Consider the following 18,739-nt stretch of genomic DNA (forward strand, 5'->3'; position numbering starts at 1 on the left):
GCAAATGAAAACAAAGAAACAACATATGAGAATTTCTGGGACACAGCTAAAGCAGTGTTAAGAGGAAAGTTTATAGCACTAAACACTCACATCAAAAACTTAGAAAGATCTCAAATTAATAACCTAACATTATACCTAGAGGAATGAGAAAAACAAGAGCAAACCAACCCCAAAGCTGGCAGAAGAAAAGAAATAACTAAAATCAGAGCTGACCTGAAGGGAATTGAGACCAAAAAACCATACAAAACCAAAAATTAATTCTTTGAAAGAATAAATAATATTGATCGACCACTAGCTAGAGTGATAAAGAAAAGGAGAAAGAAGATCCAAATAAACATAATCTTGAAATGGCAAAGGGGACATTACCACTGACCCCACAGAAATAAAAAAAAAAAATCCTCAGAGACTATTACAAACATCTCTATGCACACAAACTAAAAAACCTAGAAGAAATGGATAAATTCCTGGAAATATACAATCTCCCAAGGTTGAACCAGGAAGAAACAAATCCTGAACAGAAAAAATAATGAGCTCTGAAATTGAATCAGTAACAAAAAGCCTACCAACCCAAAAAAAGTTCAGGCCAGATGAATACACAGCCAATTCCTATCAGATGTATAAAGAAGAGCTGGCACCATTCCAACTGAAACTATTCCAAAAAATTGAGGAGAGGCTCTTCCTTAACTCATCCTATGAGGCCAGCATCATTCTGCTACTGAAACCTGGCAGAGACACAAGAAAGAAAGAAAACTTCAGGCCAATATCCCAACATAGATGCAAAAATCTGCAACAAAATACTAGCAAATCAAATCCAGCAGCACATCAAAAAGTTAATCCACCACGATCAAGTAGGCTTTATTCCTGGGATTCAAGATTGGTTAACATATGCAAATCAATAAATGTGATTTATTACATAAACAGAACTAGATGCAGAAAACGCTTTTAATAAAATTCAACATCACTTCATGTTGAAAACACTGAACAAACTAGGCATTGAAGGAACATACTTCAAAATAATAAGAGCCATCTATGATAAACCCACAGCCAACATTATATTGAATAGGTAAAAACTGTAAGCATTCCCCTTGAAAACCAGAATAAGACAAGGATGCCCACTCTCAGAACTCCTATTCAACATAGTACTGGAAGTCCTAGCCAGAGCATTCAGGCAAGAGAAAGAAATAAAAGGCATCCAGATAGGAAGAGAGGAAGTCAAACTATTCCTATTTGCATGCAATATGATTTCATACCTAGAAAACCTCATAGTCTCTGCCTAAAAGCTTCTTGATCTAATAAACAAGTTCATCAAAGTTTCAGAATACAAAATCAATGTACAAAAATCAATAGCATTTCTATACACCAACAACATCCAAGCTGAGAGCCAGATCAAGACTGCAATCCCATTCACAATTACCACAAATGGAATAAAATACCTAGGAATACAGCTAACCAGGGAAGTGAAGGAAGTCTTCAAAGACAGCTACAAATCACTGCACAAGGAAATCAGAGATTACACAAACAAATGGAAAAACATTCCACATTCATGGATAGGAAGAATCAATATTGTTCAAATGGCCATACTACCCAAAGTAATTTGTAGATTCAATGCTATTTCTATCAAACTACCAATGATATTTTTCACAGAATTAGAAAAAAATGTTAAAAAGAAATAAAAAATGGTAATTCCTTTTACCCATATAGTAGGGTGTTTAAAGTTTTCCCACTGATAGTCTTTTTATTTTTCAAATTCATTTTTCCCTTTATGTTTCATTTGTGTTAGTTTCTACCTCTATTTTTTCTAGCTCATTAATCTTTTCTTCTCCAATGGTTTTTTGTTTTGTTTTCTTCTGCAGTGCTTTTTTTCATTTCAGACTATACACTATAGATTTCATCTATAGAATTTGATATTTTAAAAAATCTCCCATATCTCTACTTAATTAAAATACAATTATAATTTTTTAAAGTGGTCATAGAGAATGTTGTTGAAATGGAAGTCAGACAAAGGAAACACAAGAATTAAAACCACTGAGACACCATTTCTTACTCATCAGATTGGCAAAAGTTCAGGAGCTTGACAATATATCCTGCAGGCAATGATATAGAGGGGAAAAGAACTTTTATAGATAGCTGGTGGGAATGCACTCTATAACAACCCTAACTGGAAGAGAATATAGCAATCTCTGACAAAATTACCGATGCATTTACCTTTTGACTCAGCAACCCCACTTCTAAAGATACACCTCTAGGGATACAAAAACACATGTGCATGAGTCATACACACATGTTATTATACATTTGTCCAAACCCATAGAATGAACACCAAGAGTGAACCCTAAAGTAAACTTATGGACTTCGGGTGATTATGCTGTGTCAATGTAAGTTCATCAATTGTTAATAATTGTACCATTTTGGTGGGGGATGTTGATAACGGGGGACACTATGCACAGGTGGGGGCAGCAGGTGTATGGGAAATCTTAGTACCTTCCTCTTAATTTTGCTGTGAATCTAAAACTACTATAAAAATTAAGTAAAAAATATGCATATGTATGAGGTTTATTCACTATAGGATTATTTGTAATTGCAAAACATTGGAAGCTATCTAAATGTTCAAGCATAAAAGATTGATTAAATAAAATATGGTAACATAAACAAAATAGAGTCCCATGCTGCTGTTAAAAAAAAAAGATAGGCCCTTACTGTAGGCATCCATGAGTAATTCAGACAGTTCAGTAGGCAGCCACAATTTGTTCTCATGGTTCATGGCCCCAAAAGAAGGGTTCCATTAATCCACCAGTGTGTTGCTTCTGTGTGGCATACCAAACACGAGGCCATTGGCAACAGCTCAAGTTAGTCAGATTTTAGTCTAGCCACCTGTTAACTAAACCCAGGTATTTAGAGAAACCTTGGTGATTCAAGGGCCCACTGAGCAATAGTTTTGCTTCAGGCAGTAAAATAGGAATGAAGTTTCTCCCAAAGGAATAAAAGGCACTTTTTCATGTAAAGCCAAGATACCACCGGAATCTGGCCAGCTACATTTTTGAACATACCATTTCCATTTGACAAGTAGAGCTCTTAGATTCCTACTCATTGAGTCTGAGTTAACACACCCAAAAATGGTTATATCAAGGCAGAGAGTCACAACACAATGCCTCCATGGTCAGGTGTTCAATTTCCACAAGAACTCAGTAGCAAGCTAATAGCTGCCTTTCAGTAAGCCTGCCAGACCTTGGTCCTGGAGGGAAACATTACATTTCTTACACTGAGCAGTAAACAAACCTGTCCTGTGCTACACAAGGAGACACTCTATCTTCCAAGGCTGTTTGATATACAACCATCTTTGAAAAGGTAGTCTGGAACAAAAGGGAAATTAGTCTCTTTGATCAGATGTGTAGAAACACAAGAGACTAATGAAGAATTGTGTCAAATATTAAGATGTCTTTTACCTTCTGTTTTCAGCAGTTGACTCTTACGTTATTTAGTTTTCCGTATATTTACCCTGTTCGGGATTCTCCAAGACTCTTGGATCATAGATGGGTATCTTTTTACCCAATCTGGAAATTTTTCTACCAAGACTTCTTCAACTATTTTTTCCTCATTCTCCCTCACCTCTCCTTCTGAAACTTCAATATGTATTCAATAGTGTCCCATAGATCACTTGGACTCTGCTATTTTTCAACCATTTTTTTTCTCTATGTACTTCAGTTTGGATGATTTCTATTGACCTGTCTTCAAATTTATAATCCTTTCTTCTATATCGGCCAAACTTCTACTAATCTCATCCAATTTTTTACTTCAGATACTTTATTTTTCAGTTGTAGAATTTTCATTAGAATGTTTTTTACAGTGCCTGTATATTTTCAAAAATTCACCAACTTTTCACTCTTAACATTTTTCCCACAGATTCTTTTACATATGTTGGTAAAGCACTTCTCTGCTTTTTCAAACATCTGAGTAACCATAGTCAGCTCCTATAAACTGATTTTTCTCTTGACCTTGGATCATATTTTCCTGTTTCTTTAACATCTAATAGTTCTGTATTACCTATTGAACATTATGAATGACATGTTGTAGAGACACTAAATTTGATCCCTCTTCTTGATCACTCTGAACTTGTGAAGACTTGGTTTGCAGGTTGTTTTGTGTGTTTGTTTATGTTTTTGTTTTTGAGACAGAGTCTCACTCTGTCACCCAGTCTGGAGCATAGTGGTGAATTATAGCTCACTGCAGATTTGACCTCCCAGGCTCAAGCAATTCTCCCACCTCAGCTTCCTGACTAGCCGGGACTACAGGTGTGCACCACCACACCCAGCTAATTTTTAAATTTTTTGTAAGAAACAAGGTTTCATTATGTTGTCCAGGCTGATCTCAAGCTCCTGGGCTCAAGTGATACTCCAAAGTTCTTGGATTACAAGCATGAGAGATCGTGCCTGGTCTGTTTTGTTTTTAAGAGTAGCTCTATTTTGGTATCACCCTTAGTCCTGGGGAAAATCATTTAGTCCTGTAATATGGTCTTTATTTCTAAGATGTGAGGCCTCAGTGGGAAGGCCGAGGTGTTCATCCAATCACTCTCATTTGGCAGGAATTAAAATCAAAACTCCAAATCTACTGAAGTGGGCACCCACCAAAATCTCTATTCAGCTCTTTTAGCCTTCTAGCTCTTGTTTCTAAGTTTCTTGCAGTCTTACCTTGTATGTGTGCATTTCTGAGGCCACTTGGTGATCTGATTGGAGTTTACGTGTCACTCTGACAGCTCCATACCCCAGCTATTAATGTCATAGGGAGGAAAGTTGGTCTAATATAAGTTGGAAGCTGTACTGGATCTCACTAGGTTGTTTCACTGCAGACATAAGAACCAGAGATGTAAAGGGACTCAGAGTACGGAAAGGATTTGTGACAAAAACACTTAGATAAAAGAAGATACAAATTAATTAGTTTTAAAGTACTTCTTCCTATATAGCATGAGACAATTAACTCTTTAATAAGAAGGGTTGTTCAATAAGAAAGTATTGTTTACAAGTAATGCCAAGTTTATTTTCTTGCTTCTCCTCAAGTTCTAATTCAGAAGTATTCAGTAATTACAGTGTTTGCAACAGTTCTACATGGCAACTAGAAAGAAATATTAGACAATCACATTTTGTGTGTATATAAATGTAGGTCTATAATGATAACAATAGATTGGCAATTGATGAGCACTGAATGACAAATAGTTTTGTTTTTATAAAAATATTCAATGGTTGAATTATATTTTCAAATAATAAAATTAAAAATTTGATTAATTAAAGCTGATCTTAAATGTTGATATCCATTAATTATAATTTAATTTTTTATATAATAAATAATTTCTAATATTTTACAAGAAATAAATTTAATATATAGTCTTAAATTTTTCCTTGTATAAACTTATACTTTATTATAAAATATATTCATGTTATATTCACTTAAAACATAGTTAAATTTTAAAAGTGGGCGAAGGATATGAACAGACACTTCTCAAAAGACGACATTTAGGCAGCCAAAAGACACATGAAAAAATGCTCATCATCACTGGCCATCAGAGAAATGCAAATCAAAACCACAATGAGATACCATCTCACACCAGCTAGAATGGCGATCATTAAAAAGTCAGGAAACAACAGGTGCTGGAGAGGATGTGGAGAAATAGGAACACTTTTACACTGTTGGTGGGACTGTAAACTAGTTCAACCATTGTGGAAGACAGTGTGGCGATTCCTCAGGGATCTTGAACTAGAAATACCATTTGACCCAGCAATCCCATTACTGGGTATATACCCAAAGGATTATAAATCATGCTGCTCTAAAGACACATGCACATGTATGTTTACTGTGGCACTACTCACAATAGCAAAGACTTGGAACCAAGCCAAATGTCCAACAATGACAGACTGGATTAAGAAAATGTGGCATATATACACCATGGAATACTATGCAGCCATAAAAAATGATGAGTTCATGTCCTTTGTAGGGACATGGATGAAGCTGGAAACCATCATTCTCAGCAAACTATTGCAAGGACAAAAAACAAAACACCGCATGTTTTCACTCATAGGTGGGAATTGAACAATGAGAGCACTTGGACACAGGAAGGGGAACATCACACACTGGGGCCTGTTGTGCGGTGGGGGGAGGGGGGAGGGATAGCATTAGGAGATACACCTAATGTTAAATGATGAGTTGATGGGTGCAGCACACCAACATGGAACATGTATACATATGTAACTAACCTGCACGTTGTGCACATGTACCCTAAAACTTAAAGTATAATAATAAAAAAAAAATACCAAGGCAGTAAAATGTAAAGGAAAAAAATTTTAATCATTAATGTTAATAGAACAGGTAAAAATCTTGATTATAACAATATAATTAGTGATTTTGATGAAATGAAGGCAATACAAATAAATATTGTAAAATTAGCTATAATAGGTAATGAATTATGCATGTCCTTATTATCTATCCAAATATCATAGGCCTATCAACAAAATATCCAGACACACTTGATATAATTAAGTTAAATCCAGTGATGTTTTAATGAGCTCCAGTCAAATAAAAATGATAGCTTTACACATATTTTTCAATTTTGTCACCTTGGAAGTTTAATCAATTCACATAATTCATAGCAGTTATGTTCTATAAAGTCATTATGAACATTGAGTTATTGAACGCTGATTGCTTACCCCAGGAGATATACAGCATTAGGTTCCCAAAATCTTTGATCACAACATTTTTGTCAACTGATTAATATTTAACTTTGTTTTGCATTTTTGCCAGCTAATCAATACATAACCTCATTTTACATGTACTTCTGTTTAAAAACACCTTATTTACTGTTGATTCATTAACACTGAACTCATGGTCAACAGTACCATAACCCACACCTGGATGAAGCTTATCTCACACTTGTATTTCTCCATAAGACACATCACCACCTTCTTCCACTTAGGAATAGTAGACAGCATGTCAGCACTACACTTGGGGGCGTTTTTTAATAACAAAATCACCAACAAAAAAAAGACAAAACATGGCACTTCAGTTGAGAACACACACATTGGGCAACTCATATTTGTTGCAACTCTGTGCATGTGCATAAATGGCCATGAAAGTGCTCCAAGTATTGATTTTGGGGTCATGAATAAACTTTAACAAGTAGGCAAATTTGAAAAGACAGAATCCATGAATAATAAAAATCAGCTGTATATTGGTCAAGTTAAGATAGAATAGATTTGGCCAGGCATGGTGGCTCACATCTGTAATCCCAGCATTCCCAGGCTGAGGAGGAGGATCACTTTAATCCAAAAGCTCAGGACCAGCCTGGGCAGCACAGTAAGACCCCATCTCTACAAAGAATTAAAAAAACAGCCAGGTGCGGTAGTACATGCTTGTAGTCCTAGCTACTCAGGAGTCTGAGGTGGGAGGATTACCTGAGCCTGGGAGGTCAGCCTGCAGTGAGCTGTAATTGTGCCACTACACTCCAGCCTGGGCAACAGAGTAAGATCCTCTCTAAAAAAATGAAAAAAAAAAAAAAAAAAGAAAGAAACAGATTTTACTTAATAGTTCATTGGTTTAATGTATACCTTTTAAATATTTAGATATATGTAATTAGGGCATTAATGTGATCCTTACTCAGCCCCACAAATGTTAGAGGCAGGCCTGCTTCTTACCCTTCAGGCCAACCCTGGACAGTATTGTGAAGCAGGCAGATGTTTGTGTCTAATGCCCTTAATCCATATATTTTTCGCATGTAATACCTTCTTTTAGCTCCAGTTCTATTATTCATGAGTCTTCAGTACCTCCCTGTGCTTGGAGACACATACACACACGCTCATAAAGATTTCATGAGTTTCTTCAGCAACCTTCTCTATCCAGAGTAGAATAAAACCCTAATGCACAATCAGTTTCATCCTTACATCACCCCATCCGATTTCCTACCTGCCCGTTTCCAATTTCCTCAAGGACCTCTGATATGCTAGATAAGAAAATGATGATCAAATAAGTTTTTTCATGATAGTGGGCTAAACAGCTCTAATAAACTACGCCAATGCACTACTGCTTCCAGGTAAAAATTAATTTTTCTTTTTTTCTGGAAGACCACTGAAAAAAATCTCAGTAGGAATTTAAGTGACCTTTCTTAAAGATATTTGAGGGTTATATAGAGCTTTTAAATCATATCTCCAAGTTAGAATCTGTTCCATGGGGCAGTTTATGTATTAATGTGATCTTTTTTCATAGTAGTGGGCCAAAAATGCCATTAGGAAGAACAGGAAGACATCACCTTATGTGTCCTGAAGGAGAATGGACAGGCCATTAGTCAGGCGGAACATCAAAGGACATAAGCTATGGGGGTGGACACAAACCACAGCTCTGCCGGGCCAAGTTCACTGTGTTCTTGGAGAAGCAGGTCTGCACAATGAGGAAACTGGGTCAGAGCTAAGGGAAGATGAGGTCTAAGAAAGGAACAGTTCAAGGAAGGACTGGGAGATGAATGAATCTAGAAGCACGGAGCTTTAAACCCACCTTTTCTAAAAAACCCTCCTACTAATCAATCCCCAGCCTCTGAGAAACCAGTTTTTCCTTGGTCAAAACGAGAGGTTCACAAATTAAATTTAATTTTCTTAAAAATTAAGACCCAAGGATTGCCAACTGTTTACTTTGCTAATTGAATATTTTTTTAAAAAAGCTAATGTTTGCCATTATAATAATTTCATACAAGAAATAATATTTTTGACATTAAAAAGTAGATAAATACTATTACAGAATAAAAGAAAGTCTTTTCCATTCTAGAAAAAAACAGTTGATGACCAGACACTGACAGTTCACTGCATCTCAGTGAAAACATCACTGTGGACAGGCACAGTCCTGGGAGCCAGCATCTGGGATCTCTGTTCTTGAACAAAGGTCAAATTCTGGGCTCAGTGCCCCAGAGCCATGCTTGACGTCCAAGCTGAGCTAGCTTTATCATCAGGAGGGAGCTCCATGGCTTCTTCAGAGAAAAGCCTGTGGCCATTTGGGGGCCTCAACTGTGGGCCTCATTGTGCTTTTTCCAAGAGATCTCCTTTCCCTAAACCTGCTTCCTTTGGTGTTTATAAGAATCTGTGGTGCCAGAGTGAGTACAGACCCCAAAAGGAACCTGACACAGAAAGGGCTTGAAGTCAAGTGGCTCTTACCTGGAAGGTAGCTCATGCTCTCCTCCTGCGATGGTTAATACTGACTGTCAACTTGATTGGATTGAGGGATACAAAGTATTAATCCTGGGTGTGTCTGTGTGAGTGTCACCAAAAAGATTAACATTTGAGTCAGTGGGCTGGGGAAGGCAGATCTACACTTAATCTGGTGGGCACAATCTAATTAGCTTCTAGAGAATATAAAGCAGGCAAAAACATGTGAAAAGGCAAGATGGGCCTAGCCTCCCAGCCTACATCTTTCTCCCATGCTAGATGCTTCCTGCCCTCGAACATCTTCAGTCTGGGGACTCGGACTGGCTCTCCTTGCTCTTCAGCTTACAAGACAGCCTATTGTGGGACCTTGTGATAGTGTGAGTTAATACTTAATAAACTCCCTTATAAGAGAACCCTGACTGATACACCTCCCATCCTTAAAGACAGATCCTGGCTGGGGGGAAAGTATGTTAAAAGCACAAAAACAGTGATTGTTTCATAATGCGACACTTTCCTTCAGCAAGATTTCTAAACGTAGCCAATAGACTAGCAGAAAGGACAAGTTAGAGAAAACACTGTAGAGGCCACAGCCAAAGGTGTGTTTCCAAACAGCCCTTAGCAAAATATTAAGCCTAGAAGCCCCCATGTGTCATAGCCATTGCCCCAAATGTGCCTTCCATTCTGTGCACCTTTTATAGATGATTTTACTCCATCTGGGCTCCCAGAAAAAAAGATGATTCTGCCAAGGTCATGTGTGACATGAGAATTCTATTCAGAAGGGGCCTTCAGAGATAGAGGAGCTAGCGTCTAGCATGGAGAAATGGCTGACAGGTCTATTTCACCCTTAGCTGAGCTCCCTAAGTTACTTCTTAACCAGGAAAACCTTCTCACAGTCATAGTCCCAGTTAGGTTCCCTTTCTTAGAAACACTGTCCTAGAGCCCTTCTCATTTGTTTGATGCCTACCTGCGAGCTACAGTGGAATGCCCTGGAACTTAAAAGTGAGTTAACATCTAGACATTGACTGGCAAAACTCTTATGAAATGGATGGTCTCCTTACCTAAAGGGACATGATGATTGCTTGATCAAAGCAGGAAGAATGACCTATGAATCAAATCAAAGTATAAATAAATTTGAAAAAAAAAACCTGTTGTATAACCAATTGTATTAAAATGTGCAAGCAAGAGGACTCAAATAGCAGGCTTGAGTAGTATTAATTCCACCCAGTCCAAAGGACTTACAGTGAAGACACTGAACAGGATGGGTGGATGGGTCTGGTCACATTAAGGTAATCTTCCTTCTAAGTCTATCTGGTATCCTTTGCTCTGATTCAAAAATCACCAGGCAAAATGCTGGTGATGGTTTCGCTCTCTCTTCTTTAGGGAGAGAATCCTCTGAATAAAGATACAACTATCTGGGTCCCTAAACATGCATAGTCCCCCCTGAAAACCAATAAATTGGCCTTCCGTATTTCACAGCAATCTCTTGAGAATGTCACTTGGGTGGATTGGGCCTAGACAGTACGGTGCTCTCGGGAAACATGGGAAAAACCAAGTTTCTTGTCCTGTAGGACTATAATTTGAGGAACCTACTGAAAAACCACCTAAAGACTCAACCAGCCTAGTTCTGTGCCTTTTTCTAGAAGCATCCTCTGACATCAGCACTCATTACTCACTTGCCATGTGTATATGCTGCCTTGTGTTACTATGCTGCCCTGCATTACTATTTCACCCTTAATTTTCCAACTAAAGCACAATCTAGTTCTTTTGTTTTTATTTCAATAGCTTTTGGAGTACAGGTGGTTTGGGGTTACATGAATAAATTAATTGCATAGTGGTGATGTCTGAGATTTTAGTGCAACCATCACCCAAGTAGTGTACATTGTATCCAATATGTAGGTTTTTATCCTTCACCCTGCTTCCACCCTCCCCATTCTGAGTCTCAAAAGTCCATTATGTCATTCTGTATGCCTTTGTGTAACCATAGTTTAGGTCTCATAAGTTAGAGCATATGGTATTTCATTTTCCATTCCTGAGTTACTTCACTTAGAATAATGGCCTCCAGCTCTACCCAAGTTGCTGCAAAATACATTATTTCATTTGTTATGGCTGAGTAGTTTTCCATGATATATACATACCACATTTTCTTTATCCACTCATTGGTCAATGGGCACATAGGTTCATTCCATATATTTGCAATTGTGAATTGTGCTCCAATAAATGTATGCACGCCGGCTCTTTTTTCTATAATGACTATTTTCCTGTGGGTAGATACCCAGTAATGGGTTTGCTGGATCAAATGTAGATCTACTTTTAATTCTCTAAGAAGTCTCTATACTGTTTTCCATAGAGATTGTACCAATTTACATTCCCACCAGCAGTATCTAATTGTTCCCTTTTTACCACAACCATACCAACATCTACTGTTTTTTGACTTTTTAATGATGGCCATTCTTGCAGGGGTAAGATAGTGTCTCATTGTGGTTTTAATTTGCATTTATCTGATGATTAGTGATGTTGAGCATTTTTTCATATGTTTGTTGGCCATTTGTATATATTCTTTGAAGAAATGTCTATTCATGTCATTTGTCCACTTTTTGATGGGATTATTTGTGGGTTTTTTTTCTTGCTGATTTGTGTGAGTTCCTTGTAGATTCTGGATATTAGTCCTTTGTCAGATGCACAGTTTGCAAATATTTTCTCCTACTCTGTGAGTTGTCTGTTTATTCTGATGATTATTTCTTTTGATGTACAGAAGCTTTTAGTTTAATTAGGTTCCATTTATTTATTTTTGCTTTAGTTGCATTTGTTCTGGGGGTCTTAGTCATAAATTCTTTGCCTAGGCCAATGTTCAGTAGAGGTTTTCCTAGGTTACCTTCTAGGATTTTTACGGTTTCAGGTCTTGGACTTAAGATCTGAAGGTCTCTGATCCATCTTGAGTTTATTTTTTAATAAGGTGAGAAATAGTGATCCAGTTTCATTATTCTACATGTGGCTATCCAGTTTTCCCAGCACCATTTATTAAATAGAGTGTCCTTTCCTCAATTTATATTTCTGTATGCTTGGTCAAAGATCAGTTGGTTGTAAGTATTTGGCTTTATTTCTGGGTTCTCTGTTATTTTTCATTGGTCTACGTGTCTACTTTTATACCATGTTGTTTTGGTAACTATACCTTAGTAGTATAATTTGAAGTTTGGTAATGTGATGCCTCCAGATCTGTTCTTTTTGCTTAGGATTTCTTTGGCTATTTGGGCTCTTTCTGGGTTTCATATGAATTTCAGAATTGTTTTTTCTAATTTTATGAAAAATTATGTTGGTATTTTGATAGGAATTGCATTGAATCTGTAGATTGCTTTAGGTAATATGGTCATTTTCATAATATTGATTCTTCAAATCCATAATGTCAATGTGTTTCCATTGGTTTTTGCCATCCATTATTTTTTTAGCAGTGTTCTATAGTTCTCCTCATAGAGATCTTTCACCTCCTTGACTAAGTGTATTCCTAGGTCTTTTTTTTCAGCTGTTGTAAAAAAAATTGAGTTCTTGATTTGATCCTCAGCTTGGTTGTTGTTGGTATATAGCGGTGATACTACTTTGTGTACATTGATTTTGTAACCTGAGACTTTACTAAATTCATTTATCAAATATAGGAGTCTTTTGAATAAGTCTTTGGGGTTTTCTAGGTATATAATCATATCATCAGCAAAGAGCAATAATTTGACTTCCTCTTTTCCATTTTGGATGCCCTTTATTTCCTTCTCTTGCTTGATTGTTCTTGCTAGTATTTCCAATACTATGTTGAACAGAAATGATGAAAGTGGGCATTCTTGTCTTATTCCAATTCTAAGTGTGGGGGAATGCTTTCAACTTTTCTCCATTCAGTATGATGTTGGATGTGGGTTTGTTGTATATGGCTTTTACTATTTTGAGGTAAGTCCCTTCTATGCCTAGTTTGTTGAGGGTTTTCACCATGAAAGAATGTGGATTTTATCAAATGCTTTTTCTGCATCTATTGAGATGATCATATGGTTTTGTTTTTGTTTTTTTTAATTCTATGTGATGTATCATATTTATTGACTCATGTATGTTAAAACATCCTTGCATCCCTGGGATGAAACCCACTTGATCATGGTGTATTATCTTTTTTATGTGCTATTGGATTTGGTTAGTATTTTGTTGAGGATTTTTGCATCTACGTTTATTAGGGATATTTGTCTATAGTTTTCTTTTTTTTGTTATGTACTTTCCTTGTTTTTGGCATTAGGGTGATACTGGCTTCATAGAATGGTTTAGAGATGATTCATTCTTTCTCAATTTTTTGGAATAGTTTCAGTAGGATTCATACCAATTCTTCTCTGGATGTCCGGCAGAATTCAGTTGTGAATCCATTTTGTCCTGGGCTTTTGTTGTTGTTGTTGTTGTTGTTGTTGTTGCTGCTGCTGCTGCTGCTGCTGCTGTTGTTGGCAATTTTTCTTTTATTACTAGTTCAATCTCACTGCTTGTTATTGGTGTGTTCATGCTTTCTATTTCTTCCTAATTTAATGTAGGAGGGTTGCATGTTTCCAAGAATTTATTTCCTCTAGTTTCCTAGTTTGTGTGCATAGAAGTGTTCATAGTAGTCTTAAATGATTTTTTGTATATGTGTGGTTTTCGTTGTAATGTCTCCAGTTTCACTTCTAATTGAGCTTATTTGAATCTTCTCCCTTCTTGGTTAACATAGCTAATGATCTATCAATTTTGTTTATCTTTTCAAAGAACCAACTTTTTGTTTCATTGATCTTTTGTATTTTTTGTTTCAAATTAATTTAGTTTTGTTCTGATCTTTGTTATTTCTTTTCTTCTGCCAGCTTTGGCTTTAGTTTGTTCTAGTTTCTCTAGTTCCTTGAGAAGTGACATTATATTGTCAGTTTGTGATCTTTCAGGCTTTCCAATGTAGGCATTTAGCCCTATAAACTTTCCTTTTTGCACTGTTTTTGCTGTATCCCAGAGGTTTTGATAACTTAGGTTGCTATTATCATTCGTTTCAAGGAATATTTTAAATTTCCATCTTTGTTTCATTGTTAACCCCAAAATTATTCAGGAGCAGGTTGTTTAATTTTTATGTATTTATATAGTTTTGAGTATTTCTTTTGGAGTTGATTTCTAGTTTTATTCCACTGTGGTCTGAGAAAATACTTAATATGATTCTGATTTTCTTAATTTATTGAGACTTGTTTTGTGGCCTATCACATGACCAATCTTGGAGAACATTCCATGTGGTGAAGAGAAGAATGTATATTCTTCAGTTGTTGGGTAAAATGTTCTGTAAATATCTGTTAGGTCCATTCGTTCTAGAGTGTAGTTTAATTCCACTGTTTCTTTGTTGCCTTTCTGTCTTGATGATCTGTTTAATGCTGTCAGTGGAGTGTTGAAGTCCCCCACTATTATTATGTTGCTGTTATCTCATTTCTTAGGTCTAGCGTAATTGTTTTACTAATCTGGGAGCTCCAATGTTAGGTGCATATAAATTTAGGATAGTAATATCTTCTTGTGGGATTGATCCTTTTAGCATTATTTAATGACCTTCTTTGTCTTTTTTTACCTTTGTTCCTTTAAAGTCTGTTTTATCTGATATAATAATAGCTACTCATGCTCACTTTTGGTTTCCATTTGCATGGAATATCTTTTCCCACCCATTTACCTTGAGTTTATATGAATTCTTATATGTTAGGTGAGTCTCTTGAAGGCAGCAGATATTAGGTTTGCAATTTTTTTTTTATCCATGCAACCAATCAGTATCTTTTAAGTGGAGTATTCAGGCCATTTACAATCAATATTAATATTGAGATGTGAGGTACTGTTCCAGTCATCATGTTAGTTGTTACCCACTTTGTTTTACTCATTGTGTTACTGTTTTATAGCTCCTGTGAGTTTTATGCTTTCAAGAGATTTTATTCTGGTGCATACTGAGCTTTTGTTTCAAGATTTGAAACTTCTTTTAGCATTTCTTGTAGGGCTTCTCTGATAGTGACAAATTTACTCAGCATTTGTTTGTCTGAAAATGACTTTATTTCTCCTTCATTTATGAAAATTAGTTTTGCTGAATACAAAATTCTTGGCTGACAGTTGCTCTGTTTAAGAAAGCTAAAGATAAATTAAAATCCCTTCTGGCTTGTAAGTTTTTACTGAGAAGTAGAAACTTAGCTTTTGCTTTATTGGTTGTCTGATGCTTTGGTCTCACTACTCTTAGAATTCTTTCCTTCGTGTTGACTTTAGATAGCTTGGTGACTATATGGTGATGTCCTTTTTACAATGAATCTCCCAGGAGTTCTTTGAGCTGCTTGCATTTTCATATCTAAATCTCTAGCAAGGCCAGTGAGATTTTCCTCATTTATTCCCTCAAATAAGTTTTCCAAACCATTTGCTTTTTCTTCTCCCTCAGAAACACCAATTTTTCTTAGGTTTGGTCATTTTACATAATCCCATATTTTTTGGAGAATTTGTTTATTTCTTTTGATTCATTTTTTCTTTATTTTTGTCTGATTGGGTTAATTCTAAAGCCTTGCTTCAAGTTCTGAAATTCTTTCTTCTTCTTGTTCTAGTCTGTTGTTAAAACTTTCCACTACATTTTGTAATTCCCTAAATGTGGTTTTCATTTCAAGAAGTTCTGACTGGCTTTTCTTTAAAATATCTCTTTAGAAAAATTTTATTCATGTCCTGAATTGTTTTTTTAATTTTTTATGTTGGTTTTCAGCTTTCTCTGGTATCTCTTTGAGTGGCTTAATAATCAACCTTTTGAATACTTTGTCTAGTATTTCAAAGTTGTCACCTTGGTTTGGATCCATTGCTGGAGAGCTAGTATGATCTTTTAGGGGTGTTATAGAACCCTGCTTTGTCATATTATCAGAATTACTTTTCTGGCTCCTTCTCATTTGGGTTTACTATTTCTTCTAATTATTCTTGAATTTACTTTTGGTTTGACTGTGTTTTTTTAAATTAAATTTTCCCTCTTAAGGATGTGACTTTAATGCATGTAGTTTATTGTAGCCTAATTCAGCTCTTGGTGCTTTCAAGGGTGAAGACGCTGTATGAGTTCCTCGGCTATAAGGAATCTTCATATGATGGTTTTGTCAGATGCTTGTTATAGTAGCAATATCCTTGGTATGTGAGAAACTTCACAATCCCCTATGGGATTGAAATGGCAGCGGTCTCTTGAAGCTTATCTCATTCTTCCATGGTGTGCACTTATTTATTTATTTTTCCCCAGTATTTTATTTACTGGGTTGAACAGTTCATACTTCAGGCCAGTAGGGGAGGTGTTCCTTGGTAGAAACCAGTTGTGGCTAAAGCAGGTGAATAAACGCAATACACAATGGTGGGCAGAGATCCCAGCCTCAACAGAGGGGCCAGGGAAGCTCTCAGTTAAATTCACTGAGATCTTATTGATGGGGAGGATGGAAGCCACCTCAGCTTCCCTGCCAGGCCAGCAGGAAAGCAATCTACCTCCCAGGCACACTCTTGACCCAGAGTTCTGGCTATTCAGACCAGACAGGCACCTATTTTCATCTGCAGAAATGTTGATGTTCCAAGTAGAGAGGAATTGTGACCCTATCTCCCATGCAAGCCTGAACCTGAAGAGTGCTCCTCCTGTGTGAATGCAGTCACCTTAAAGTGTTCCAGAAAGGCTGTCTATATGTGCACCCATCCTGAGTGCCCATGGGAGAACCCTCAGCTATGTCTGCAGTGGTGGATGGGGGAAAAATAAGTCCCCTTCTCCAAGATTCTTCAGGAGTACCAGGACTGCCTGACTGTTGGAGTAGAGCTGCAGACTTTCCCCACTGAGCCCAGCACTACAACTGTGCCTCTGCTGAAAGGAACTTCCCACCAATGGAAAGATTTAGGACTCAAGGCCTTCCATCCAGATTCTTTTGTCCCACAGGGTGTTCCCTTGATGTGGCGCACTCCCCCTTCCCTTAGGAGTAGGAGTCCCTGAGAACCAGATTACTGTGAATGCTGCTGCTCCTCTGGGTCTAGCTGTTTGGTGGGGCTGCCACACTCCAGGCTGGTGCTGGGGAATGTCTGCAAGGGATTCAGTAATGTGATCTGTCCTCAAGTCTCCCAGCAGTAGGTACCAGCACCAGCTCTCATGGGGGTGGCAGGGCAGTGATGTAGACTCTGTGAGGTTCCTTGGTTATAAATAGCCTTATATTGTTGGTTTTCTTAAATGCTGGTTGCAGTAGCAATGTACTGGTCACATGGACAGACTTGGGACCTCCTGGTTAGCCAGAGTGGTAAAGACAGTGGTGATAGCTGAGGTTAATTGTTAGCTGACCTCTGGCCAGGAGGTGGCCCTTGTAAAATAGCACCAGCTGTGGTAGTAGCAGTGGGATTTATGCTTGCCTTATGTTACCCAGGAGTGGCACTCTGGTTTTTCAGGCGATAGGTGGGGCTATAAAGCCACCAAACAGTTCTGTCCTTTGTGTTAAGCTATCAGGGCGAGTGCAGAGGCAAAGCCAGATGGGGGCTGGGTCAGGCAGGTCTGCGCTCTGGCTGTCCACATTCAGGGCAAGCAGTGGTCCCTGTAGGGGCCAGGGGGTGGTTCTCTGGCCACTGGGGTAATGTTCCAGGGAGAAGCTTGGCTGCCTCAGCTGCACAGAAGAGTTCTCTCAGGAAACGGGGGTAGCAGGTGCCAGTAAGCCCCACCCTGCTCCCATGCACTTGGCAAGGCAGTTCTCATACCTGCAGTGTTCTGCTAGCAGCAACTAGGTAAGTTTCAGGCAGTCTACACTCAAAACTCAAAACTGCCCCAGGCCATATGCCTTCACAGGGGAGACAACAACCTTGGTTTTCAGGCCATTCCCCTCCCAGTTTGCTCAAAAAGCCAGGGTATCCAGCTCCTCCAGACATGGCTGCAGCACACTTCCCACTCTCCCCCACATTCTGGCCTCTCTCCCCCACAATTCTGGCAAGAGGAGTTCATCATCACTCGAGATTATATTGCAAATTTCAGTTGGGAGTTTCTCTCAAACTACAACCACTGCCTGCGTTAGCTAGCAGACTTCCATAAAATCTCCTGTGAGGTAGAATCAGAAATGGCTTCCCTTAGTCTGCACTGGAGACTGGGAATGCACACAATGCTCTTCCTGCTGCTGCTCCTTATATATTTTTCACCACTCCCTAAATCAGTTCCAGCCCTCAGTAGGGTTAAGGCCCTCCCTCAGGACTTGGATTGTCAGATTCCCTGGTAGGGATCTGTATCTTGGAGGCAGTCTTTCACCCTCTAACACTCTGGGGACTTACAGATTTTTGCCTGGCTCACAGAGTAGGCTGTAGTCTGCTACTTCTTTCAAAGGGTCTGTGGTTTCCTTCAGTTTTTTTGTTAAATTCCTGCATTGCTTCTTGGAAAAAAAGTTCATAGTGTGAATCTCTACACACTATTTTGTCTTTCCAAGTCAGAGAGGCATGCTAACACTGCCTCCAATCCACCATCTTCCAATCTAGTTTTTTTAAATCTTTATCAAAGTAGGTCACAAGATGCATGGGGGCAGAAATATCTAGAAAACTTCTTGTAGCATCAAGAAAGGATCTGGGTG

At 37.8% G+C, this 18,739-nt stretch overlaps 1 protein-coding gene and 1 long non-coding RNA gene across 6 annotated transcripts in view, besides 1 other annotated feature; both read right to left on the bottom strand.

Moving 5' to 3' along the window:
• The window catches only part of SRD5A2 (steroid 5 alpha-reductase 2), a 140,530-nt gene extending 135,693 nt beyond the window's left edge, over positions 1–4,837 (bottom strand). The window contains exon 1 of the mRNA XM_011533072.3: positions 4,686–4,837. The gene's annotated coding sequence lies outside the window, so the exon portion shown is untranslated. The remainder of the gene's footprint in view (positions 1–4,685) is intronic.
• The window catches only part of LOC107985862 (uncharacterized), a 63,638-nt gene continuing 52,376 nt past the window's right edge, over positions 7,478–18,739 (bottom strand). The window contains exons 4-7 of one of the 5 annotated variants that reach the window (XR_001739387.1): positions 10,229–10,272; positions 9,180–9,273; positions 8,288–8,415; positions 7,480–7,515 (exon numbers count right to left, since the gene is read on the bottom strand). This is a non-coding gene — a long non-coding RNA (uncharacterized LOC107985862). Of the gene's footprint in view, positions 7,516–7,538; positions 8,416–9,179; positions 9,274–10,228; positions 10,273–18,739 lie in introns of those variants that run through there. The other 4 variants (XR_001739388.1, XR_001739389.1, XR_001739386.2 and 1 more) reach the window with 4 other exon arrangements.
• Positions 17,428–17,722: an enhancer, noted in NCBI's record as "tiled region #3493; K562 Activating non-DNase unmatched - State 13:Ctcf". NCBI's record gives its function as "activates a minimal TATA promoter and a strong SV40 promoter by Sharpr-MPRA in K562 cells {active_cell/tissue: K562}" and the evidence as "EXISTENCE:reporter gene assay evidence [ECO:0000049][PMID:27701403]".

Source organism: Homo sapiens, chromosome 2 (genome assembly GCF_000001405.40).
Source record: "Homo sapiens chromosome 2, GRCh38.p14 Primary Assembly".
Taxonomy (NCBI): domain Eukaryota; kingdom Metazoa; phylum Chordata; class Mammalia; order Primates; family Hominidae; genus Homo; species Homo sapiens.